Source organism: Homo sapiens, chromosome 4 (genome assembly GCF_000001405.40).
Source record: "Homo sapiens chromosome 4, GRCh38.p14 Primary Assembly".
NCBI classification, from domain to species: Eukaryota; Metazoa; Chordata; class Mammalia; order Primates; family Hominidae; genus Homo; species Homo sapiens.
In genome coordinates this window covers 56,805,634-56,825,853 of record NC_000004.12, presented here as the reverse complement: position 1 = coordinate 56,825,853, position 20,220 = coordinate 56,805,634, and the positions used below count along the sequence as shown (strand labels likewise).

Genomic DNA, 20,220 nt, shown 5'->3' with positions numbered 1-20,220 from the left:
GAAAAAAGGGTTTAATTGGACTTACAGTTCCACATGGCTGGGGAGGCCTCACAATCATGGTGGGAGGTGAAAGGCCCTTCTTACATGGCAGGAGCAAGAGAAAAAATGAGGAGGAAGCAAAAATGGAAACTCCTGATAAACCCATCAGATCTCCTGGACTTATTCACTATCATGAGAATGGCATGGGAAAGACTGGCCCCCATGATTCAATTATCCCCCTGGGTCCCTCCCGCAACACTTGGGAAATCCGGGAGATAGAATTCAAGTTGAGATTTAAGTGGGGACACAGCCAAACCATATCACCTACCTCTACAAAAAATACAAGAATATTAGCTGGGTGTGGTGGCGGATGCTTGTATTCCTAGCTACTTGTGGGGCTGAGGTGGGAGGATCGCTTGAGCCCAGGAGGTTGAGGCTGCAGTGAGCTGAGATTGCGCCACTGTACTCCAGCCTGGGTGACACAGCAAGATCTTCTCTCAAAAAAAAAAAAAAAAAGAATACAGTTATGCCCATTCATTGAGTTATAGTCTATGTCTCCTTTTGCACTGCAATGGCAGAGTTTAGTTGTGACAAGAAGTCAATGGTATTTACTATCTGGCCCTTTACAGAAAATGTTTTTTGACCCTTGTTCTTGGCTCACAAATGCTGAGACAACATGTGAAAAGCACCATGATAGAAAATATTTCTAAGGTATAATTATCAACATTTTTTTTTTTTTTTTGAGACGGAGTCTCGCTCTGTCACCCAGGCTGAAATGCAGTGGTGTGATCATGGCTCACTGCAGCCTCCACCTCCCAGGCTCAGGTGATCCTCCCACCTCAGCCTCCTAAGTAGCTGGGACTACAGGTGCGCGCCACCACACCAGGCTAATTTTTGTATTTTTTTAGAGACAGGGTTTTGTCATGTTGCCCAGGTTGGTCTCCAACTCCTGGGCTCAAACAATCTGCCCGCCTCTGCCTCCCAAAGTGCTGGGATTACAGGCATGAGCCACCCTGCCAGTCAGTGTCAACTCTTTGAAACAAAATAACCTAAAGGCAGCTGTATCCACACACATAAATTTATAAAAAATCTATCTTGAGGGGTAAATGGCTTTTCTTTTGAAGCTGAAATTCCTACTCACACACCTCTGAGCATTGCCCCTGAGTCTGGGTCAGATTTGTGTTCCCAGAGCATCAAAGGTGTTTGTAAGCAAGTGCACATGTCATTTGGTAACAGACATCCAGCACAGTTGAGAAAAGCTTTATATATAAATTATATTTTATCAATCCTTGATAAGAATCTTCAGCAAAATGACCCATGACCATTTCATGACTGTTATTCAAAGAACTGAATGTGATGTGACTTAGAGAAGTACTAACACTCATTTCAAATTTACCCCTTGGCCTCAGACAGGATTCCAGCCAGAACTCAGCCATGTGTGGTGCCAAGTGGAGTTAAAAACTGCACAGTGTCTTCTTGTTCCAGCCTTTGAGGTTGCTAAGGTCAAGGGTGGGCATGGGAACATGCCAGTCATAAGATGATTCTCCATCAGCTCTACAACCCCCTTCTACACTCTGCTATGTGGTGCCAGGTCTCAGCAGACCTCATTTCTGCTTTTTCAGCTGGCTTCCAGAAGGTTATGCCCATAGGGTCTGTCAGGGGGACACCGGAAGGCAGGAGGAGGGAGAAGGGACTGGCTCCTGCCTGCTGGCTGTTTCTTTCAGCAGTGCCACAGCAATGACTCTTCATCACTCTGATAGAATCAGCTGGCTCCAGTCTCCAGCATTTTTTTTTTTTTTTTTGAGACAGAGTTTCACTCTGTTGCCCAGGCTGGAGTGCAGTGGTGTGCTTCGCTCACCACAACCTCCACCTCCTAGGTTCAAGAGATTCTCATGAACCTGGGATTACAGGAGTATGGCACCATGTCCAGCTAAGTTTTATATTTTTTAGTAGAGACAAGGTTTCACCATGTTGGCCAGGCTGGTCTCGAACTCCCGACCTCAAGTGACCCACCCACCTCAACCTCCCAAAGTGCTGGGATTACAGGTGTGAGCCACTGCACCTGGCTCCAGTCTTCAGCTTTTCCACACACTCTTAGAGCCACCTGCATATCCAAGCAACACCCCCTTCCCATGGGTCTGAGTCCCAGCTTTCCAGGACCTCTCCTCCAAATTTCTAGTTCTGAGAATCCCAACCTAATCCGTTTGTTCCCCTAGATCGAGGCATGATGCCTACTTCCTAAAGGCTTTATCTCTGTGTTACCTCGTTTTCCCTTTCTGCTTTTTTCAGTTATCCCTACTGGATTAGCCAATTCCTTATACTAAATTATCTCTGGTGAAATACCTAGTAAACCTTGTGTTTTCCAGACTGGACCCTTACTGATAAGGCAACATGTCACAGAATCATTTGACACACAGGCATAAGAAGCAGAAAAAAAAAAAAGTGGATCTGCTAATGCACTTTTTTTTTTTTTTGACAGAGTCTTACTCTGTCGCCCAGGCTGGAGTGCAGTGGCACCATCTCGGCTCACTGCAACCTCTGCCTCTTGGGTTTAAGCAATTCTCATGCCTCAGCCTCCCAGGTAGCTGGGACTACAGGTGCGCACCACCATGCACAGCTAATTTTTGTATTTTTAGTAGAGATGGGGTCTTGCCATGTTGGCCAGGCTGGTCTCAAACTCCTGGCCTCAAGTGATCTACTTGCCTCAGCCTCGCAAAGTGCTGGGATTACGGGCATGAACCACCGTGCCTGGCCAAATTTTTTTGACATGGTCTCATTTTGCCACTGAGGCTGGAGCGCAGTAGCTCAATCTCAGCTCAATGGCCACACCTGGCTAATTTTTGTACTTTTTTTAGAGACGGGGTTTTGCCCTGTTGCCCAGGCTCCTCTCAAACTCTTGAGCTCAAGTGATCCACCAGGCTCAGCCTCCCAAAGTGCTGGGATTAGAGGCGTGAGCCACCACGCCTGGCCTTAATGCACTAACTTGCTCAGCCTCTTTGGCAAAAATTATTTCTCACAGAAGTAATGAGTAGAACAGTAGTTACTAGAGGCTGGGAAGGATAGGGGGATAGGGAGAGGTTGGTTAAAGTATACAAAATTACAGCTAGGTAGAAAGGATAAGTGCTAGTGTTTCATAGCATTGTAGGGTGCCGACAATTAACAATAATATATTATAAAGGTCGAGCACGGTGGCTCAAGCCTGTAATCCCAGCACTTTGGGAGGCCAAGGTGGGCGGATTGCTTGAGCCCAGGAGTTTGAGAGTAGCCTGGGCAACATGGTGAGAACCCCTCTCTACAAAAAATGCAAAAATTAGCTTGGCATGGTGGCATATATCTGTGGTCCCAGCTACTTGGGAGGGAGGCTGAGGTGGGAGGATCACTGGAACCTGGGAGGTGGAGGTTGCAGTGAGCTGAGATCGTGCCACTGCACTCCAGCCTGGGTAAAAGAGCGAGACCCTGTCTGAAATTTAAATAATAATAATAATTTATTATGTATTTTCAAGTAGCTAGATGAGAGGATTTTGAATGTTCTCAACACAAAGTAATGATAAATGTTTGAGGTGATGAATATGCTAATTATCCTATTTTGATCACTACACATTGTATGTATCCAAATATCACTATGTACCCCCATAAATATGTACAATCATTATGTGTCAACTCAAATAGTTAAAAAATATATTAAAAGAGGGAAAGGCAGAACGCTTCCTGAGAGCAAGGACCTCCTTTGTCGAGGTCAGGGCTGTGTCTTCAGCAACGAAACACTATCTGGGACTTAGTACATGCTTAAGAAATAGGTGTTGATTGACAGAGCTCCCAAGAGCTCCACAAGGGTCCCCCTAGGACTGTCACAGGTTCTTGTATGTCGGAGGGAGAGGTCTTCCCCTTCGTCTCCTTGGGGGGAGGGGAAGGTGTTGGGGAACAACTGCCCCTTCCTCTATCTCCCTCGCCCCTCCTTCCCCATGGCCCCCTCCCCCGTCCTTCTACCTTTCTCCTTCCCAGCCCTTTCCGGTTCTCCCCCGACCCTTCACGGCTCCTCTTCCCGCCGCTCCTCTTCCCGCCGCCCCTCTTCCCTCGCCACCTACCGCTGCTTTTCCTCCCATTCTCGCCCCGCCCCTTCCCCCGCCCTCCCCGCGCCCCGTCGCACGAGCGCTCCCTGCGAGTGGCGCAGGTAACAGACCGCAGGGGCAAGACAGCCGGCGCGGGAGGAGGATGGCGCTGTCGGTGCTGCGCTTGGCGCTGCTGCTCCTGGCAGTTACCTTCGCAGGTAGCGCTCGGAGCGGTCCTGGCGAGCGGGGACCTCCGGAGAAAAGCGGGTTTGGGAGTCAGACCGGCGGCGGACCCTGCCCTGCTCCGGGCGGCCTCGGCGACGGTACCCGCGCGCCCGTTACTGGCGGTTCCCCAGAGGACCTGCCAGGTGGAGGAACGCGAACTGGGGGTTGTGGGGGTGGCTTTGTGGAGTCAGCCACCCTCTTTAGTTCTTGCTTGGGCTTCGCTCCCAGCTCTAAGGACACCTGCCATCTAGAGCGCTTTCTCTGTTAAAGTAGATTTTCAGGTGCCCAAGATGAGGAGTTGAGTTTTTATGTATGGTCCCAAGGGAGGAGATGTGCAGGAATGAGGAATTGTGGATGCTTACGAGAAAGGGGCTTTAGTCCAACCACACTGGACACCTCTCTTAAAATGGAGTTAAAATGCTCACATCTTATATTAAATTTTGTATTTGTTACCCCGAGTTGTAAAGGAAAATAACATCATGAACTATTAATTAAGGGTTACTTCCTTGGCCAGGTGTAGTGGCTTGGGCCGGTAGTCCCAGTTACTCCGGAGGTTGAGGCGGGAGGCTCGCTTGAGACCAGGAATTGAAGCTGCAGTGCGCTAGCGCGACTTTTATTCCATAGCTTCAAAGTCCTTTCTCAACCAACCCTAATGGGAACAGAACCAAATGTTATTTCTATGTGCTTTTGGGGAGAGGTGCCATAAAAAACTGAATATCCTTTCTGGGGGAAGTGGGATGGGGACAGTTTAAAGAAGGTAGGCATTAGAGGGGAAAATAGAAGATGTGGCCTGGATAAATCCCAAACTGGATTTTAAAACATCCTTATGAAGCTGGATGTGGTGGCTAATGCCTCAAATTCCAGCACTTTGGGAGGCCTAGGCAGGAAGATCGCTTAAGCCCGGGAGGTCAAGACCAGCCTGGGCAACATAGCAAGACTTCATTTAAAAAAAAAAAAAACTTCATGAACAATACCTTACCTTGATCCTATACTGTAAAATGTCTATGCTTTCTTCTTACAGCCTCTCTGATCCCTCAATTTGGTCTGTTTTCAAAATATAGAACGGTAAGTAGCAAACCACTTCTACTGTTTCTACTAATACAGTGAAGCCCAAAACCGTTTGGGAGGGAGGCTGGCTTTCAGGTCTGACCTGCCACTTTTGAAACCATTGAGGACTGCGTTTAAAACCAGGTTGTCAGGCAGGCCTTTTGATTCAGATAAAAGTGTAAGTTTTAGTTGAAAACAGCTCAGTCTTTGTGTTAATATTTCCTTTAAAGATTCAAAAGGTCCTTAGAAAAAGTTATGCCTTGTACTAGATATTTTATGTACTTTATCAAATTAAATTCTGAGGATGTAAATGGAGACCAACCAAATGAGAACAAGCAAAGGCTATGTTTTTCAGGGCTTGTTATAGCAAGAGAGTCAGCCACTGTCACTTGCATTTGAGTAGGGACTCGAGTCAAAGAGAGGAGTGGGAAAACTATAGTGGAAAAAAGGAATGGCTTCAGGTATGGCCTGATTGGAGGCTGTTGGCACAGGGAAGCTGTAGGTGAGCTAACTAGAAGCACAACATTCTATGGTATGGGTTAGGGGTGTGTATTTGGTTTTCTCTGGTTGTCCTAAGTTGGAATCAAGGACAGAAATTACGGAAGCTGTCAGTTAGTAATCAAATCCTAACCATTTTGCAGCTGGGCGCAGTGACTCACGCCTGTAATCCCAGTGCTTTGGGAGGCCGAGGTGGGCAGATCACGAGGTCAGGAAATCAAGACCATGCTGGCTAACATGGTGAAACCCCGTCTGTACTAAAAATACAAAAAATTAGCCAGGCATCATGGCACGTGCCTGTAATCCCACCTACTGGGAAGGCTGAGGCAGGAGAATCACTTGAACCTGGGAGGCAAAGGTTGCAGTGAGCTGAGTTCATGCCACTGCACTCCAGCCCAGACAACAGAGTGAGACTTCATCTCAAAAAAAAAAAAAAAGAAAGAAAAAAAAGTCCTAGCCATTTTGGGCTGATTGTTAAAGGGGTTATTGTTTTGCTTCCTGGACTGTCACTAGAGATAGCAGTCTGATTTCCTTCAAGTCTGGCTTATAGCCGGCTGGCCTCCTGGCCTGGTTATTCTAAATAATGGTTTGGGTTCCTGGACAGGATGCTGCAGGTTGTGGGTCAGAGTTCTGTTTTATATAAGGACTAGTCATTGTCTGTATATTTGGTCTCTCAATTCTCACAATGATGTTGTAAGATAGACATTATTTGACATATGAGGATATTGACTTCAGCAGGTTAACTTTGAGCATTCAGCTCAGAGTAGGCTTCTTCCAGGAAGCCTTCCCACGCGATTCCCTTCCTCTAGAGATGTAGATATGTATACACACACACTTTCTCTGTGCTTACCTATACTGCATCATCATCACCATCATAATAATAAATACTTAGATACCTACATGCCACACCAGTGTTCTAAATGCTTCATATATAATAACTAATTTCATCTTTCACAGTACTGTGAGGTAGGGATCATTATTTCATTATTATCCCCTTGGCCAAGGTCACATGGAAGTGGTGGAGCTATGCTTCTCATCCAGGCAGTCTGACTCCAGATCCAGTGCTTTTCTCTACCCTGTCACAACATTAGGTTGTAATTGCCTGTTTGCCTACGTCCTCCAGGAAACTGTATGCATGTTGTCAGGTATAATGTCTTATTTGCTATTTGTTGCTCAGTCTTCAGCATCTCACAGATGCCCAATAACACTTTTAGTCAGTGATTCAGTTTGCTTGGGTTTGATTTTCTTTTAGAAAATGGGAGTTATGGTACCTTCGTTTCAAGGCTGGGATTAGGGTAAAGTGAGTGAGTTCCTACATGTAGAATTTAAGAAGGCACTCACGCTCAGGAGGCAAGGCAAGTGCTGCAGGACCTGCTGTCTTTTTTTGTTTTTTGGAGACGGAGTCTTGCTTTGTCATCCAGGCTGGAGTGCAGTGGCGAGATCTCTGCTCACTGCAACCTGAGGCCTCCCGGGTTCAAGTGATTCTTCTGCCTTAGCCTCCCGAGTAGCTGAGACTACAGGCATGTGCCACCACGCCCGGCTAATTTTTTTGTATTTTTGGTAGAGGCAGTGTTTCACCATGTTGGCCAAGCTGGTCTTGAACTCCTGACCTCACAGGATGCACCCACCTTGGCCTTCCAAAGTGCTGGGATTGCAGGCATGAGCCACCGCTCCCGGCCTGGACCTGCTGTCTTTTGACAAGATTGTTAAAAGGATGACTCACACAAGAGATCTTTGGTTTGGCTGGTTTTTGTGCAGTGGTGTTTACAACTAATTGATCACAACCACAGATTTCTCTGTTCCTTTTCTATTCCACTGCTTCGCTTGACCAGTCTTAAGAAAAAAGGGAGAGAGACAGAGAGATTGATCTTTGGTTTTTCTTCCTTATTTCCATTGCCACTGCTCTAATTTAGGACGCCCATTATCTCTTACCTAGATTAGCATAGTGGCTTTTCAATGGGTTTTCCCCATCCTTTTGGTATCTTCACTTTCCACTTCCTGCTACACACTGCTGCTTCAATTAGTCTCTAAAACCTCAACTGAATGTAGCATGTCTCTGTGCAAAATCTTCAAGGACTTCTCATTGCCCACAGAGAAAGTCTAACCTCATCGACACAGCCTACTTTTCTACCTGTACCTTCTGGTGCTTTCTCATAGTTTATCCTCCTCTATCCTTAGTGCCACACTTTTTTTTTTTTTTTTGAGATGGAGTTTCACTCTTGTTGCCAGGGTGGAGTGCAGTGGCACGATTTTGGCTCACTGCAACCTCCATCTGCTGAGTTCAAGCGATTCTCCTGCCTCAGCCTCCCAAGTAGCTGGGATTACAGGCGTGCACTGCCATGCTCGGCTAATTTCTATATCTTTAGTAGAAGTAGGGTTTCACCGTGTTGGCTAGGCTGGTCTCAAACTCCTGACGACCTCAGGTCATCTGCCCGCCTCGGCCTCCCAAAGTGCTGGGATTACAAGCGTGAACCACCGCACCCGGCCTGATTACTGTAGTTTTATAGTAAGTTTCAAAATGAGGAAATGTGAATCCTCCAACCTTTTTTTTCTTAGTCAAGACTGTTTTGGCTATTTGGAGTCCCTTATATTTCCATCTGAATTTTAAGATCAATTTGTCAGTTTCTGCTGCAAAAAAAGATAGCTAAGATTTTGTTGGGGATTCCATTGAACCTGTATATCTATTTGGAGAGTATTGCCATCTTAAAAGTGTTAAGTCTTATGATCCATGAACATGGGATGTCTTTCTATGTATTTAGGCCTTTAATTTCTTTCAACAATGCTTTGTAGTTTTCAGTATACATGTCTTACACTTTGTAAATATTTATTCCTAATGTTTTTGTTTTTGTTTTTTGAGATGGAGTCTCGCTCTATCGCTCAGGCTGGAGTGCAATGGCATGATCTCGGCTCACTGCAACCTCTGCCTCCTGGGTTCAAGCAATTCTCCTGCCTAAGCCTCCTGAGTAGCTGGGATTACAAGTGTGTGCCACCACGCCCAGCTAATTTTTGTATTTTTAGTAGAGATGGGGTTTTACCATGTTGGTCAGGCTGGTCTCGAACTCCTGACCTCGTGATCTGCCCGGCTCAGCCTCCCCAAGTGCTGGGTTATAGGCGTGAGCCACCGCACCTGGTCTTTCTAGATGTTTTATTTTTTTATTTTATTTTATTTTTTTTTTTTGAGACAGTGTCTCACTCTGTTATCCAGGCTGGAGTGAAGTGGAGCCATCTCGACTCACTGCAGCCTCCGCCTCACAGGTTCAAGTGATTCTCCTGACTCAGCCTCCCAAGTAGCTGGATTACAGGTTCCCGCCACCATGCCCAGCTAATTTTTTTTCGTGTATATATGTATATATATCTATATATAGATATATAGATATAAAATATATATTTTATTTATTTATTTTGAGATGGAGTCTTACTCTGTCACCCAGGCTGGAGTATAATGGTGTGATCTCGGCTCACTGCAACTTCCACCTCCTGGGTTCAAGCGATTCTCCTGCCTCAGCCTCCCGAGTAGTTGGGATCACAGGCACCCACCACCACGCCCAGCTAATTTTTCTATTTTTAGTAGAGACGGGGTTTCACCAGGTTGGCCAGGCTGGTCTTGAATTCCTGACCTCAAGTGATCCTCCCACCTCGGCCTCCCAAAGTGGTGGGATTACAGGTGTGAGCCACTGTGCCTGGCCTATATTTTTTTAGTAGAGACAAGGTTTCACCATGTTGGCCAGGCTGATCCCAGCACTCCCAAAGTGCTGAGATTAAGGGTGTGAGCCACCATGCCTGGCCCTAGAGATGTTTTATTCTTTTTGATGCTATTGTAAGTGGAATTGTTTTCTTAGTTTTATTTTCAGATTTTTCATTGTTAGTGTATAGAAATAAAATTGAGTTTTATATATTGATCTTGTATCTTTCAACCTTGTTGAACTTGTTTATTAGTCCTTTTTCTTTTTTCCAAGACTGAGTCTTGTTCTGTGGCTCATGCTAGAGTGCAATAGCATGATCATAACTTAATATAACCTTGAACTCCTGGGCTCCAGTGATCCTTCTGCCTCATCCTCCTGAGAAGCTAGGACTACACACACAGGTCACCACACATGGCTAATTTTTAATTGTTTGTAGAGATGGGGTCTTGCTATGTTGCCCAGGCAGGTCTTGAACTCATGGCCTCAAGTCATCCTCCTACCTCAGCCTCCCAAAGTACTGGAATTACAGGAATGAGCCACCATACCTGGCCTTGTTTATTAGTAATAATAGTTTTGTGTGTGTGTGTGTGTGTGTGTGTGTGTGTGTGTGAATTTCTTAGGAATTTCTATATAACAAGATTGTGTCATCTTTGTTGTTTGTTTGTTTGTTTTTTGAGACACGGTCTTACTCTTCCACCAGGTTGGAGGGCAGTGGTACAATCTCAGCTTACTACAACCTCCGCTTCCCAGGTTCAAGCGATTCTCCTGCCTCAGCTTCTCAAGTAGCTGGGATTACAGGTGCCTGCCACCACGCCTGGCTAATTTTTGCATTTTTAGTACAGGCAGGGTTTCACCATGTTGGCCAGGCTGATCTCGAACTCCTGGCCTCAAGTGATCTGCCTGCCTTGGCCTCCAAAAGTGTTGGGATTACAGGCATGAGCCCCTCTGTCATCTTTGAATAGAGATAGTTTTACTTCTTCCTTTCCAATCTAGGTGCATTTTATTTATTTTTCTTGGGTAATTGTCCTGGCAAGAAACTTCGGTATAGTGTTGAATAGAAGAGGTGAAAGTGGACATTCTTGTGTTTTTTTCTGATTTTAGGGAAAAGCATTGAGTCCTTTACCATTGAGTAGAATGTTTGCTTAGGTTATTCATGGATGCCTTTTATTTTATTTTATTTTTGTTTTTGTTTTTTCTATGGATGCCTTTTATAAGGTTGAGGAAGTTCTCTTCTGTTCCTGGTTCGTTGAGTGCTGTGTTTTTTGTTTGTTTGTTTGTTTGTTTTTTGAGACAGAGTTTCACCCTTGTCCCCTAGGCTGGAGTGCAATGGAGTGATCTTGGCTCACTGCAACCTCTGCCTCCTGTGTGATTCTCCTGCCTCAGCCTTTGTTTTTTTTTTTTTTTTTTTTTTTGAGACGGAGTCTTGCTCTGTCACCCAGGCTAGAATGCAGTGGCATGATCTCGGCTCACTGCCAGCTGTGCCTCCTGGGTTCACGCCATTCTCCTGCCTCAGCCTCCCGAGTAGCTGGGACTACAGGCGCCCACCACCATGTCTGGCTAATTTTTTGTATTTTTAGTAGAGGCGGGGTTTCATCGTGTTAGCCAGGATGGTCTCGATTTCCTGACCTCGTGATCCACCTGCCTCGGCCTCCCAAAGTGCTGGGATTACAGGCATGAGCCACCGCGCCTGGCCACCTCTTTTTTTTAAAAAAAATCATAAAAGAGTTTTGGAGGTTCCTTTAAACTGTTAACTCCAATGCCAACCACTTCTCTTGCCACTGTGCCTTTGCTTGATCAATTTTATTTCCTTGCGGTAGACATTCTCCCAGCCTTCTATATTAAATTTTACCCTTTCTTCAAGACCAGCATGTGTATTTCTCAATTGCCTTATTCGACCCTAAGCTTCTTATAGGCAGGATCCAACTTTTCTTTGTCTTTGTGTCTCCCGTAACATCTGTAAATGAGTGATTATACCAGTAAACGGTATAAGAACCTTTCAGGAAAAAAGCTTTAGAGCAGCGGTCCCCAGCCTTTTTGGGACCAGGGACCAGTTTGTAGAAGACAATTTTTCCATGGACTGAGGAATGGGGTGGGGTGGGCAGAGATGGTTTGGGATGAAACTCAGACCATCAGGCGTTAGTTAGGAGTCTCGGCAGGGTGCGGCGGCTCATGCCTGTAATCCCAGCACTTTGAGAGGCTGAGGCTGGCGGATCACAAGGTCAGGAGTTTGAGACCATCCTGGCCAACATGGTGAAAGCCGGTCTCTACTAAAAATACAAAAATTAGCCGGGCGTGGTGGTGGGTGCCTTTAATCCTACCCATATGGGAGGCTGAGGCAGGAGAATCGCCTGAACTTGGGAGGCAGAAGTTGCAGTGAGCCAAGATCGCGCCACTGCACTCCAGCCTGGGCGACAGAGTGAGACTTTGTCTCAAAAAAAAAAAAAAAAAAAAAAGGGCCAGGTGCAGTGGCTCATGCCTGTAATCCCAGCACTTTGGGAGGCTGAGGCGGGCAGATCACCTGAGGTCAGAAGTTTGAGACCAGCCTGGCTAACATGGTGAAACCCTGTTTCTACTAAAAATACAAAAATTTAGCTGGTCGTGGTGGCATGCGCCTGTAATACCAGCTAATGGGGAGGCTGAGACAGGAGAATTGCTTGAACCTGGGAGGCAGAAGTTGCAGTGAGCCGAAATGGCACCATTGCACTCCAGCTTGGGCAACAAGAGCAAAACTCTGTCTCAAAAAAAAAAAAAAGTCTCATAAGGAGTGCACAACCTAGATTCCTCACATGCCCATGTCACAATAGGGTTCGTGCTCCTATGAGAATCTAATGCCATCGCTGACCTGACAGGAGGCAGAGCTCAGTTGATAACGCTCACTGGCCAGCCACTTCCCTCCTCCTAACAGGAGGCCCAGTTCCTAACAGGCCATGGACTAGTACCAGTTTGTGATCTGATGGTTGGAAACCCCTGCTCTAGAGTATAAAGGTCAGAGAATTGCTTAAAATTTTATCATATCCTTCTATAAGAATTATTTTAATTCGTAATTTTTTTGAGACAGTTTCGCTGTTGTTGTCTAGGCGGGAGTGCAGTGGTGCAATCTCGGCTCACTGCAACCTCTGCCTCCCAGGTTCAAACGATTCTCCTGTCTCAGCCTCTCAAGTAGCTGGGATTACAAGCATGCGCCACCACCCCCAGCTAATTTTTGTATTTTTGCTAGAGATGGGGTTTCACCATGTTGACCCAGGCTGGTCTTGAACTCCTGACCTCAGGTGATCCACCTGCCTCAGCCTCCCAAAGTGCTGGGATTACAGGCATGAGCCACCACGCTCCGCTCTTCTATGAGAATTAAAATGACATTAAGGAATAATAAATGTGCAGTGGTCCTCTTCCAGAGAGTGGAGAGGAAGTTTTGGGGCAATGTCTGCCCAGATTGAACTCTCTTCCTGTAGTTAGTATCTTGTGCGGTGAAATTTGGAGTCTCCATAGATGATGAACCTGTTTTGAACATTTTTCCTTTGGCACAAATTTGCTTCAATTCTCAATTTCCTGCTTTCTTTAATGTTTTTGGTTAAATGTCAGTGCCTTAAAAGTTCAGATTGAAAGATTAGATTCCTGATTTTGTCTTGGCATTAAGGCAAGGGATTAAGGTGGAATTTAATAAACATCCACATGGAGATTTTAGTGAAGTGCAAATTATGAAGCTAGATAATAAAAAAGTAGGTGTGGTGGCATGTCTTAGACTTGCATTTAAAAATCAGCCAGATTGAAGCCTCTGAGGTCCTTTTTTTTTTTTTTTTTTTTTTTTTTTTGAGATGGAGTTTCGTTCTCGTTGCCCAGGTTGGAGGGTTGGAGTGCAATGGCGTGATCTCGGCTCACCGCATCCTCTGCCTCCCAGGTTCATTCGATTCTCCTGCCTCAGTCTCCCGAGTAGCTGGGATTACAGGCATGCGCCACCGTGCCCGGCTAATTTTTTATTTTTTAGTAGAGACAGGGTTTCTCCATGTTGGTCAGACTGGTCTCGAACTCCCAGTCTCGGGTGATCTGCCCACCTTGGCCTCCCAAAGTGTTGGGATTACAGGCGTAAGCCACTGCTCCCAGCCAAAGTCCTTTTTTTACATAATATGTATTGAACCATCACACCAACATTGTATCTGATTTTTGCATTAGAAAATTTTTTTTTGCCAGGCGCAGTGGCTCACGCCTGTAATCCTAGCACTTTGGGAGGCCAAGGCGGGTGGATCATGACGTCAGAAGTTCGAGACCAGCTTGGTCAACACGGTGAAACCCTGTCTCTACTAAAAATACAAAAATTAGCGGCATGGAGGCGTGCGCCTGTAATCCCAGCTACTTGGGAGGCTGAGGCAGGAGAATCGCTTGAGCCCAGGAGGTGGAGGTTGCAGGGCGAGACTCTGTCTCAAAAAAAAAAAAAAAAAAAGAAAAAATTTTTCTGGAAAATAAAAATATTTTTATTAAATGATTCTAGGAAATCTAGGGAGATCTGGGACATTTTCTCCTCTGAACTATTTTATATGAGTGTGTCTCAAGTCATTCTCGAATTTCTCTCTTTCTTTTTTCCAGCCAAACTGCTCTCAGTATAGATTACCAGGATGTCCCAGACACTTTAACCCTGTGTGTGGCAGTGACATGTCCACTTATGCCAATGAATGTACTCTGTGCATGAAAATCAGGTAACATGATTTTACAGCTGTAGACTAGCCAAGTTTTCTTCATTTCTTTTTTTTTCTTCTTTTTTTTTTTGACAGAGTCTCACTCTGTCACCCAGGCTGGAGTGCAGTGGTGCAATCTTGGTTCACTGCAACCTCTGCCTCCTGGGTTGAAGCAATTCTTGTGCCTCAGCCTCTGGAGTAGCTGGGATTACAGGCACCTGCCACCACGCTTGGCTAATTTTTAATTTTAGTAGAGACAGGGTTTCACCATGTTGGCCAGGCTGGTTTCGAACTCCTGACCTCAAGTGATCCACCCGCCTTGGCCTCCCAAAGTGCTGGGATTACAGGCGTGAGCCACCGCGCCTGACCTCTTCATTTCTTTTGTTGAATTTTGATTACTTAGGGGGTAGTGACAATTTTCTTGGATGTAAGAATCAAAGGTGGTATGGTAGTTCTCAGTTTTCAGGGTCATGCTTAAAGAGATGCAAAATCCTCAGTGCATTTTTCAGGTCAAGTTAAACAATGAGATGTGTGATTAGTCAACTATAGGCCAGGTAATCAAATTATGTTATTGCCCACAAATGTGAAATTTCCTAAAATTAAGAGTCTATTTAATAGTTAAACTCTGTGGAGTATTAAATTTTATTTTTAATTCAAAGGGCATGTGTAGGTGGTCTGCACACCCTGTATTAGTAGTCGGGAAGTGGGACTTACTGACTCTGCTTAGTCTAGAATGCTAAGTAATGAGTGTATGATACTTGATATGCTTCATGTAGCACACCTGACCAGGTGACTGTCACTGCTCCTTCAGGTATGCAGCTTTGTATATAGCAGGGATTCATTATTTGACCTTAGTCGGTCTTCTCTGATTCTTTTTTTTTTTTTTGAGACTGAGTCTCACTTGTCGCCCGACTCACTGCAACCTCTGCCTCCCAGGTTCAAGCGATTCTCCTGACTCAGCCTTCCAAGTAGCTGGGATTACAGGCATGTGCCACCACACCTGGCTAATTTTTGTATTTTTGTTAGAGATGGGGTTTTACCATATTGGTCAGGCTGGTCTCAAACCCCTGACCTCAGGTGATCAGGTGATCCACCCACTTCAGCCTCCCAAAGTGCTGGGATTACAGGCGTGAGCCACTGCTCCCAGCCTAAGTTTTGTATTTTTAGTAGAGGTGGGGATTCACCATGTTGGCCAGGCTGGTCTCAAACCCCTGACCTCCAGTAATCCACCCACCTTGGCCTCCCAAAGTGCTAGGATTACAGGCATGAGCCACCATGCCCAGCTCTCTGAGTGATTCTTTGGGGTTAGTGTCCTGTGCCCTAGCGTTAGGGAAAAAAATGACAGAGTGGGGACTTTCACCCTCTTTGTTTCCTAGATTTAGCTTAAAAAATGATTAAATAAGTGTAGCTGTGGAAGGAATCTAATATATATCTATCTACATGGGTCTTTTTAACACAAATAATGAGACAGTTTCAGTATGGTAGGTAATAAATGTATTTCTATGATTGTTCAATTTGCAGGGAAGGTGGTCATAATATTAAAATCATTCGAAATGGACCCTGCTGATGGAGCAGTTTACAGAAAAGAAGATGGAGAGACCACCTTCACTGGCAGACTAGATAAATTGCATTTCCCCTTTTTCTCTTTTCCTGTGTTTCTTTACATGAGATTTGTTAACACACATTTTCTGAGAGCAGGTATGGAAGACAGCCATGTGTAGTGATGGATAATTTAAAGAAAAAAAGAATCCTTGTTTCTTGGCTTTTGCTCCTGGAGTTAAGCTTACTGCCCAGGTGACTTGTGCATTGCTTTATTTAGTTGAAATAAAATCAGCATTGAATTCAGTTCCTACTGTTCTCTGTTGAAAATACCATTCTCATTCCAGAGGAGGCAGAGTTTTACCTCTATCCTTCAAGAGTTTTTCAGCTGGGCCTGAGAATTAAATGGACATAAGACAGATCAACAGGAGGAAAGCATACAGACTTATTTAATACAAGTTTCACTTGGCATGGGAGCCTTCATAAAGAAATAAACACTCGGCGGGGCGTGGTGGCTCACGCCTGTAATCCCAGCACTTTGGGAGGCTGAGGCGGGCGTATCATGAGCTCAAGAGATCAAGACCATCCTGGCCAGCATGGTGAAACCTCGTCTCTCCTAAAAATACAAAAATTAACTGGGTGTGGTGGCACATGCCTGTAGTCCCAGCTACTCGGGAGGCTGAGGCAGGACAATCGCTCGAACCCAGGAGGCGGAGGTTGCAGTGAGCTGAAATCACACCACTGCACTCCAGCCTGGGCAGCAGAGCGAGACTCTGTCTCAAAAATAAATAAATAAATAAATAAATAAATAAACGCTCAAAGACACAGAGTTGAACATTATATGCTGAATTAGACAAAGAGTAGTGAATTATGAAAGTGTGACATGGCAGAGGGGCTTGGGCTGAGTTAATTGGGTAGAGAAGTGGCTGAGGATAAGCATTAGTCTAACAAGGTTGGTTTGTACACATTTCCCTTGACCTCAGTTTCCAATTTCCCCCAGTCCTTGATGATAAGAATGTTACTTTACTTCTGGCATAGGGAGAACATCTTTCACAGGGGAATTTTATCTCCTGCTTTTAAGAAACAGAAGGAAAGTCAGAATGATCTTCTTGCACCTGCTGTTTTTCAAGTGCTTTTAACTCAAAATAGTTAATATGCCAGGGCAGCATATTTTGGGTTGGCATATTAACTCCATCATCAGCGGCCTCACATGGCCCTGTTCCTCTCAGGCGTGGATGAATTTCAGTAGGTGTGAAGTGGAGTTATTGTTGAGAGGGCAAAATTTATCCTAACTCCTTCTTTCCCTAATTCTCGGGTAATTATGTGTAGTTGGTACAGTGTTCTGCACATGGCCAATAATTGTAAGATACTTGGCGTTAACATTAACCCAAACTCGTAAAGTTAAAGAATCATGGAGGTACAAATATTTATTAGATTCAAAATTTCCTTTCAATACAGTTTTCATTCTGAGTTCATACAGGAGTTTGGCTTTTTCTTTCTTTCAGAGCAGTGGTTCTCAATCCAGGGTGATTTTCCCCAAGGGGACATTTGGCAGTATGTCTGGAGGCATGTTTGGTATAACTGCTGAGGTGTGGGGTGCTACCTAGGAATGCTTCTAAACATCCTACATTGCATAGGTCAGCCCCCAACAGCAAGGAATTTTCCAATCCAAATGTCAGTAGTGCTAAGGTTGAGACACCCTGTTTTAGAGTTTGATACAGTATAAACATTTTATAACAATAATATAAGTGACCAGGAATTTAGAATGATAGAGTTTTCCAGGTAGAGAATTTTAGTCATAAGGCCTAGGTTTAAGTACATTCCAGCACCAGGAAATGGTGAGACGCGAGGCAAGAGGTGGCTGGGAGAGTGGTATCGTGGGGAGAACATGGCTTTTGGGGGTGAGCTAAATATGAGTTCATTCTGATTCCAACACTTGTGTTTCAGTTTTCGTATCTGAAAATGGGGTTGATGTTTAGCTCCTGGAGCTATGATGAGGAAACTGTTTAGCATAGTGCTTGACATATAGAAGCCACTGAAATAGGTGCTACTATTGTTTCAGACACCCCTCCTAGAGAGGAGAAAACAGGCCCACAAAGGCAAACACATTTGCCTAAGGTGATAGAACTGAGCCTGGGCCTGCATGGTGGCTCTTGCCTGTAATCCCAGCACTTTGGAAGGCCAAGGCAGGCAGATCACGAGGTCAAGAGTTCGAGACCAGTCTGGCCAATATGGTGAAACCTCGTCTCTACTAAAAATACAAAAAGTAGCTGGGCGTGGTGGCACGTGCCTATAACCCCAGCTACTCGGGAGGCTGAGGCAGGAGAATCGCTTGAACCCAGGAGGTGGAGGTTGCAGTGAGCTGAGATCACACCACTACACTCCAGCCTGCGTTGACAGAGCAAGACTCCATCTTGAAAAAAAAAAAAAAGAGTCATATATACTTTTTGGAAAATTGAAAAATACAGACCGGGTGCAGGGGCTCACCCCTGTAATGCCAGCACTTTGGGAGGCTGAGGCAAGAGGATCATTTGAGGCCAGAAGTTCGAGATCAGCCTGGGCAACACAGAAGACCCCGTCTCTATTAAATAAATAAATAAATGAAAAAAAAATAGATACAGAAGTATATAAAAATAGAGTGAAAGTCTTGCCCATCCTAGCCTCCAGAGGCACCCAAAACTGTTTTGAAATGTCTTTTTCTCTAAGTACACGTGTATACAAAATTACACATGTGCACACACAAGTCCTGTAAACTTGCTTTTACTCTTTAAATATTGGGTTTGTTTTCATGTTGATATATATTGTTTCTTCTTTTTTAAAAAAATTTATTATTATTTTTTTGAGACTGAGTCTTGCTCTGTGGCCCAGGCTGGAGTGCAGTGGCATGATCTCTGCTCACTGCAACCTCTGCCTCCCGGGTTCAAGCGATTCTCCTGCCTCAGCCTCTGGAGTAGCTGGGATTGGAGGCCTGCCACCACTACACCTGGGTAATTTTTGTATTTTTAGTAGAGACAGGGTTTCACCATGTTGGCCAGGCTGGTCTGGAACTCCTGACCTCAAGGGATCTGCCTCATTGGCCTCCCAAAGTGCTGCAATAACAGGCATGAGCCACCGTGCCCAGCCTGTTTCTTCTTTTAAACAGCTACACAGTATACTGTTATTGTGCCATAATTTATCCAGTCTCTATTGACCTATATCTGGATTATTTATTAGGATTCTCTTGATTGAAAGTGGGAAATCCCAACTCAAACTAGCCTAAGCTAAAAGGGGAATTAATTACTTCCTTGATATAGTGAAGTGACTAAGCACACTGGTTCAAAGCCAGATATCTGCATTCACTGACCAAATTACTGCTTAACTCAGTTTCCTCATTTATAAAGTGAGGAAGATAATAGTATCTACTTAAGATAATGCATGTAAGGTGCTTAGGACACTTGAAATGTTGGCTGTATTATAGAAAACTATACCTTTTTTTGCAAAAACAGTTTGCTCTTTTGACTTAATATTTCATGGATGTTTTTCCAAATCTATACATATAGATCTACATCATTGAAAACACTTGCATAGTATTCTGTTATATAGACATACCATAATTTGTCTATTCAATCTCATCCTGATAGACACTTACATTATTTCTCATTTTTCACTATCACTAATGCTGAAATTATGTCTTTTATTTTTATTTATTTATTTATAAATTTTTATTTATTTTTTGAGGTGAAGTTTTGCTTGTGTTGCCCAGGCTGGAGTGCAGTGGCACGATCTCAGCTCACTGCAACCTCCGGCTCCCGGGTTCAAGTGATTCTCCTGCCTCAGCCTCCTGAGTAGCTGGGATTACAGGCATGCGCCATGATGCCCAGCTAATTTTTTGTATTTTTAGTAGAGATGGGGTTTCATCATGTTGGCCTTGCTGGTCTTGAACTCCTGACCTCAGGTGATTCACCCGCCTCGGCCTCCCAAAGTGTAGTGATTATAGGTGTGAGCCACCGCACCTGGCCTATTTATTTTTTAAAAAGTGAAAAATTTTCTTTTAATAGAGATGGGTCTCACTATATTGCCCAGGCTGGAGTGCAGTAGCTGTTCACAGGTGAGATCCTGCTACTCATCAGCACCGGGATTTTGACCTGCCCTGTTTCCAACCTGGGCCGGTTCACCCCTTCTTAGGCAACCTGGTGGTCCCCTGCTCCCAGGAGGTCACCATATTGATGCCAAACTTAGTGTGGACACCCATAGGGATAGCACACTACAGCCCAGAACTCCTGGACTCAAAACGATCCTCCCACCTCAGCCTCCGGAGTAGCTGGGACTACAGACATGTGACACCATGCCTGGCTAAACTTATGTCTTTGTACTCATGCCCTTCCTTCTTTGTGCACATTCTGTAGGACAAATGCATAAGATTGGCATTACTTGGTCAGAAGATACACAAATTTAAAACATTGAAAGAGATTTCAAAATATTTTTGAAAAGCGTGTACCTATCTACATCCTCTGTGACAAATGAGTGCCTAGTTCTTCTTTCTAATACCGTTGA

The 20,220-nt window shown here is 44.7% G+C and overlaps 1 protein-coding gene and 1 pseudogene across 9 annotated transcripts, besides 1 other annotated feature; one reads left to right on the top strand and one right to left on the bottom strand.

The window, feature by feature from the left end:
• Nucleotides 3,985-15,994, top strand: SPINK2 (serine peptidase inhibitor Kazal type 2). 9 transcript variants are annotated; one of them, NR_073417.2, is made up of 4 exons: nucleotides 4,153-4,534; nucleotides 5,315-5,318; nucleotides 14,060-14,169; nucleotides 15,670-15,993. NR_073417.2 is itself a non-coding variant. In NM_021114.4 (4 exons), the coding sequence occupies exons 1-4, from the start codon at nucleotides 4,192-4,194 to the stop codon at nucleotides 15,713-15,715; spliced, it is 255 nt and encodes an 84-aa protein (NP_066937.1). In that variant the 5' UTR covers nucleotides 4,153-4,191; the 3' UTR covers nucleotides 15,716-15,993. The 9 variants fall into 9 exon arrangements, 6 of the variants coding, with proteins under 6 accessions (NP_066937.1, NP_001258650.1, NP_001258649.1 ...); NR_073419.2 differs by having other exon boundaries at nucleotides 5,275-5,318; NM_021114.4 differs by having other exon boundaries at nucleotides 4,153-4,246; nucleotides 5,275-5,318.
• Nucleotides 4,052-4,311: a silencer, noted in NCBI's record as "silent region_15455". NCBI's record gives its function as "represses an Ori minimal core promoter by ATAC-STARR-seq in GM12878 lymphoblastoid cells {active_cell/tissue: GM12878}" and the evidence as "EXISTENCE:reporter gene assay evidence [ECO:0000049][PMID:35858748]".
• On the bottom strand, nucleotides 19,723-20,020 carry RN7SL357P (RNA, 7SL, cytoplasmic 357, pseudogene; annotated as a pseudogene).

Excerpts from the sequence above, each read along its gene's own strand:
- SPINK2 (NM_001271722.2), top strand. The coding sequence starts at position 4,192 with ATGGCGCTGTCGGTGCTGCGCTTGGCGCTGCTGCTCCTGGCAGTTACC. Across the intron at positions 4,397-15,669 it reads TTCCCCAGAGGACCTGCCAG|GGAAGGTGGTCATAATATTA; the intron begins GTGGAGGAACGC and ends TTCAATTTGCAG.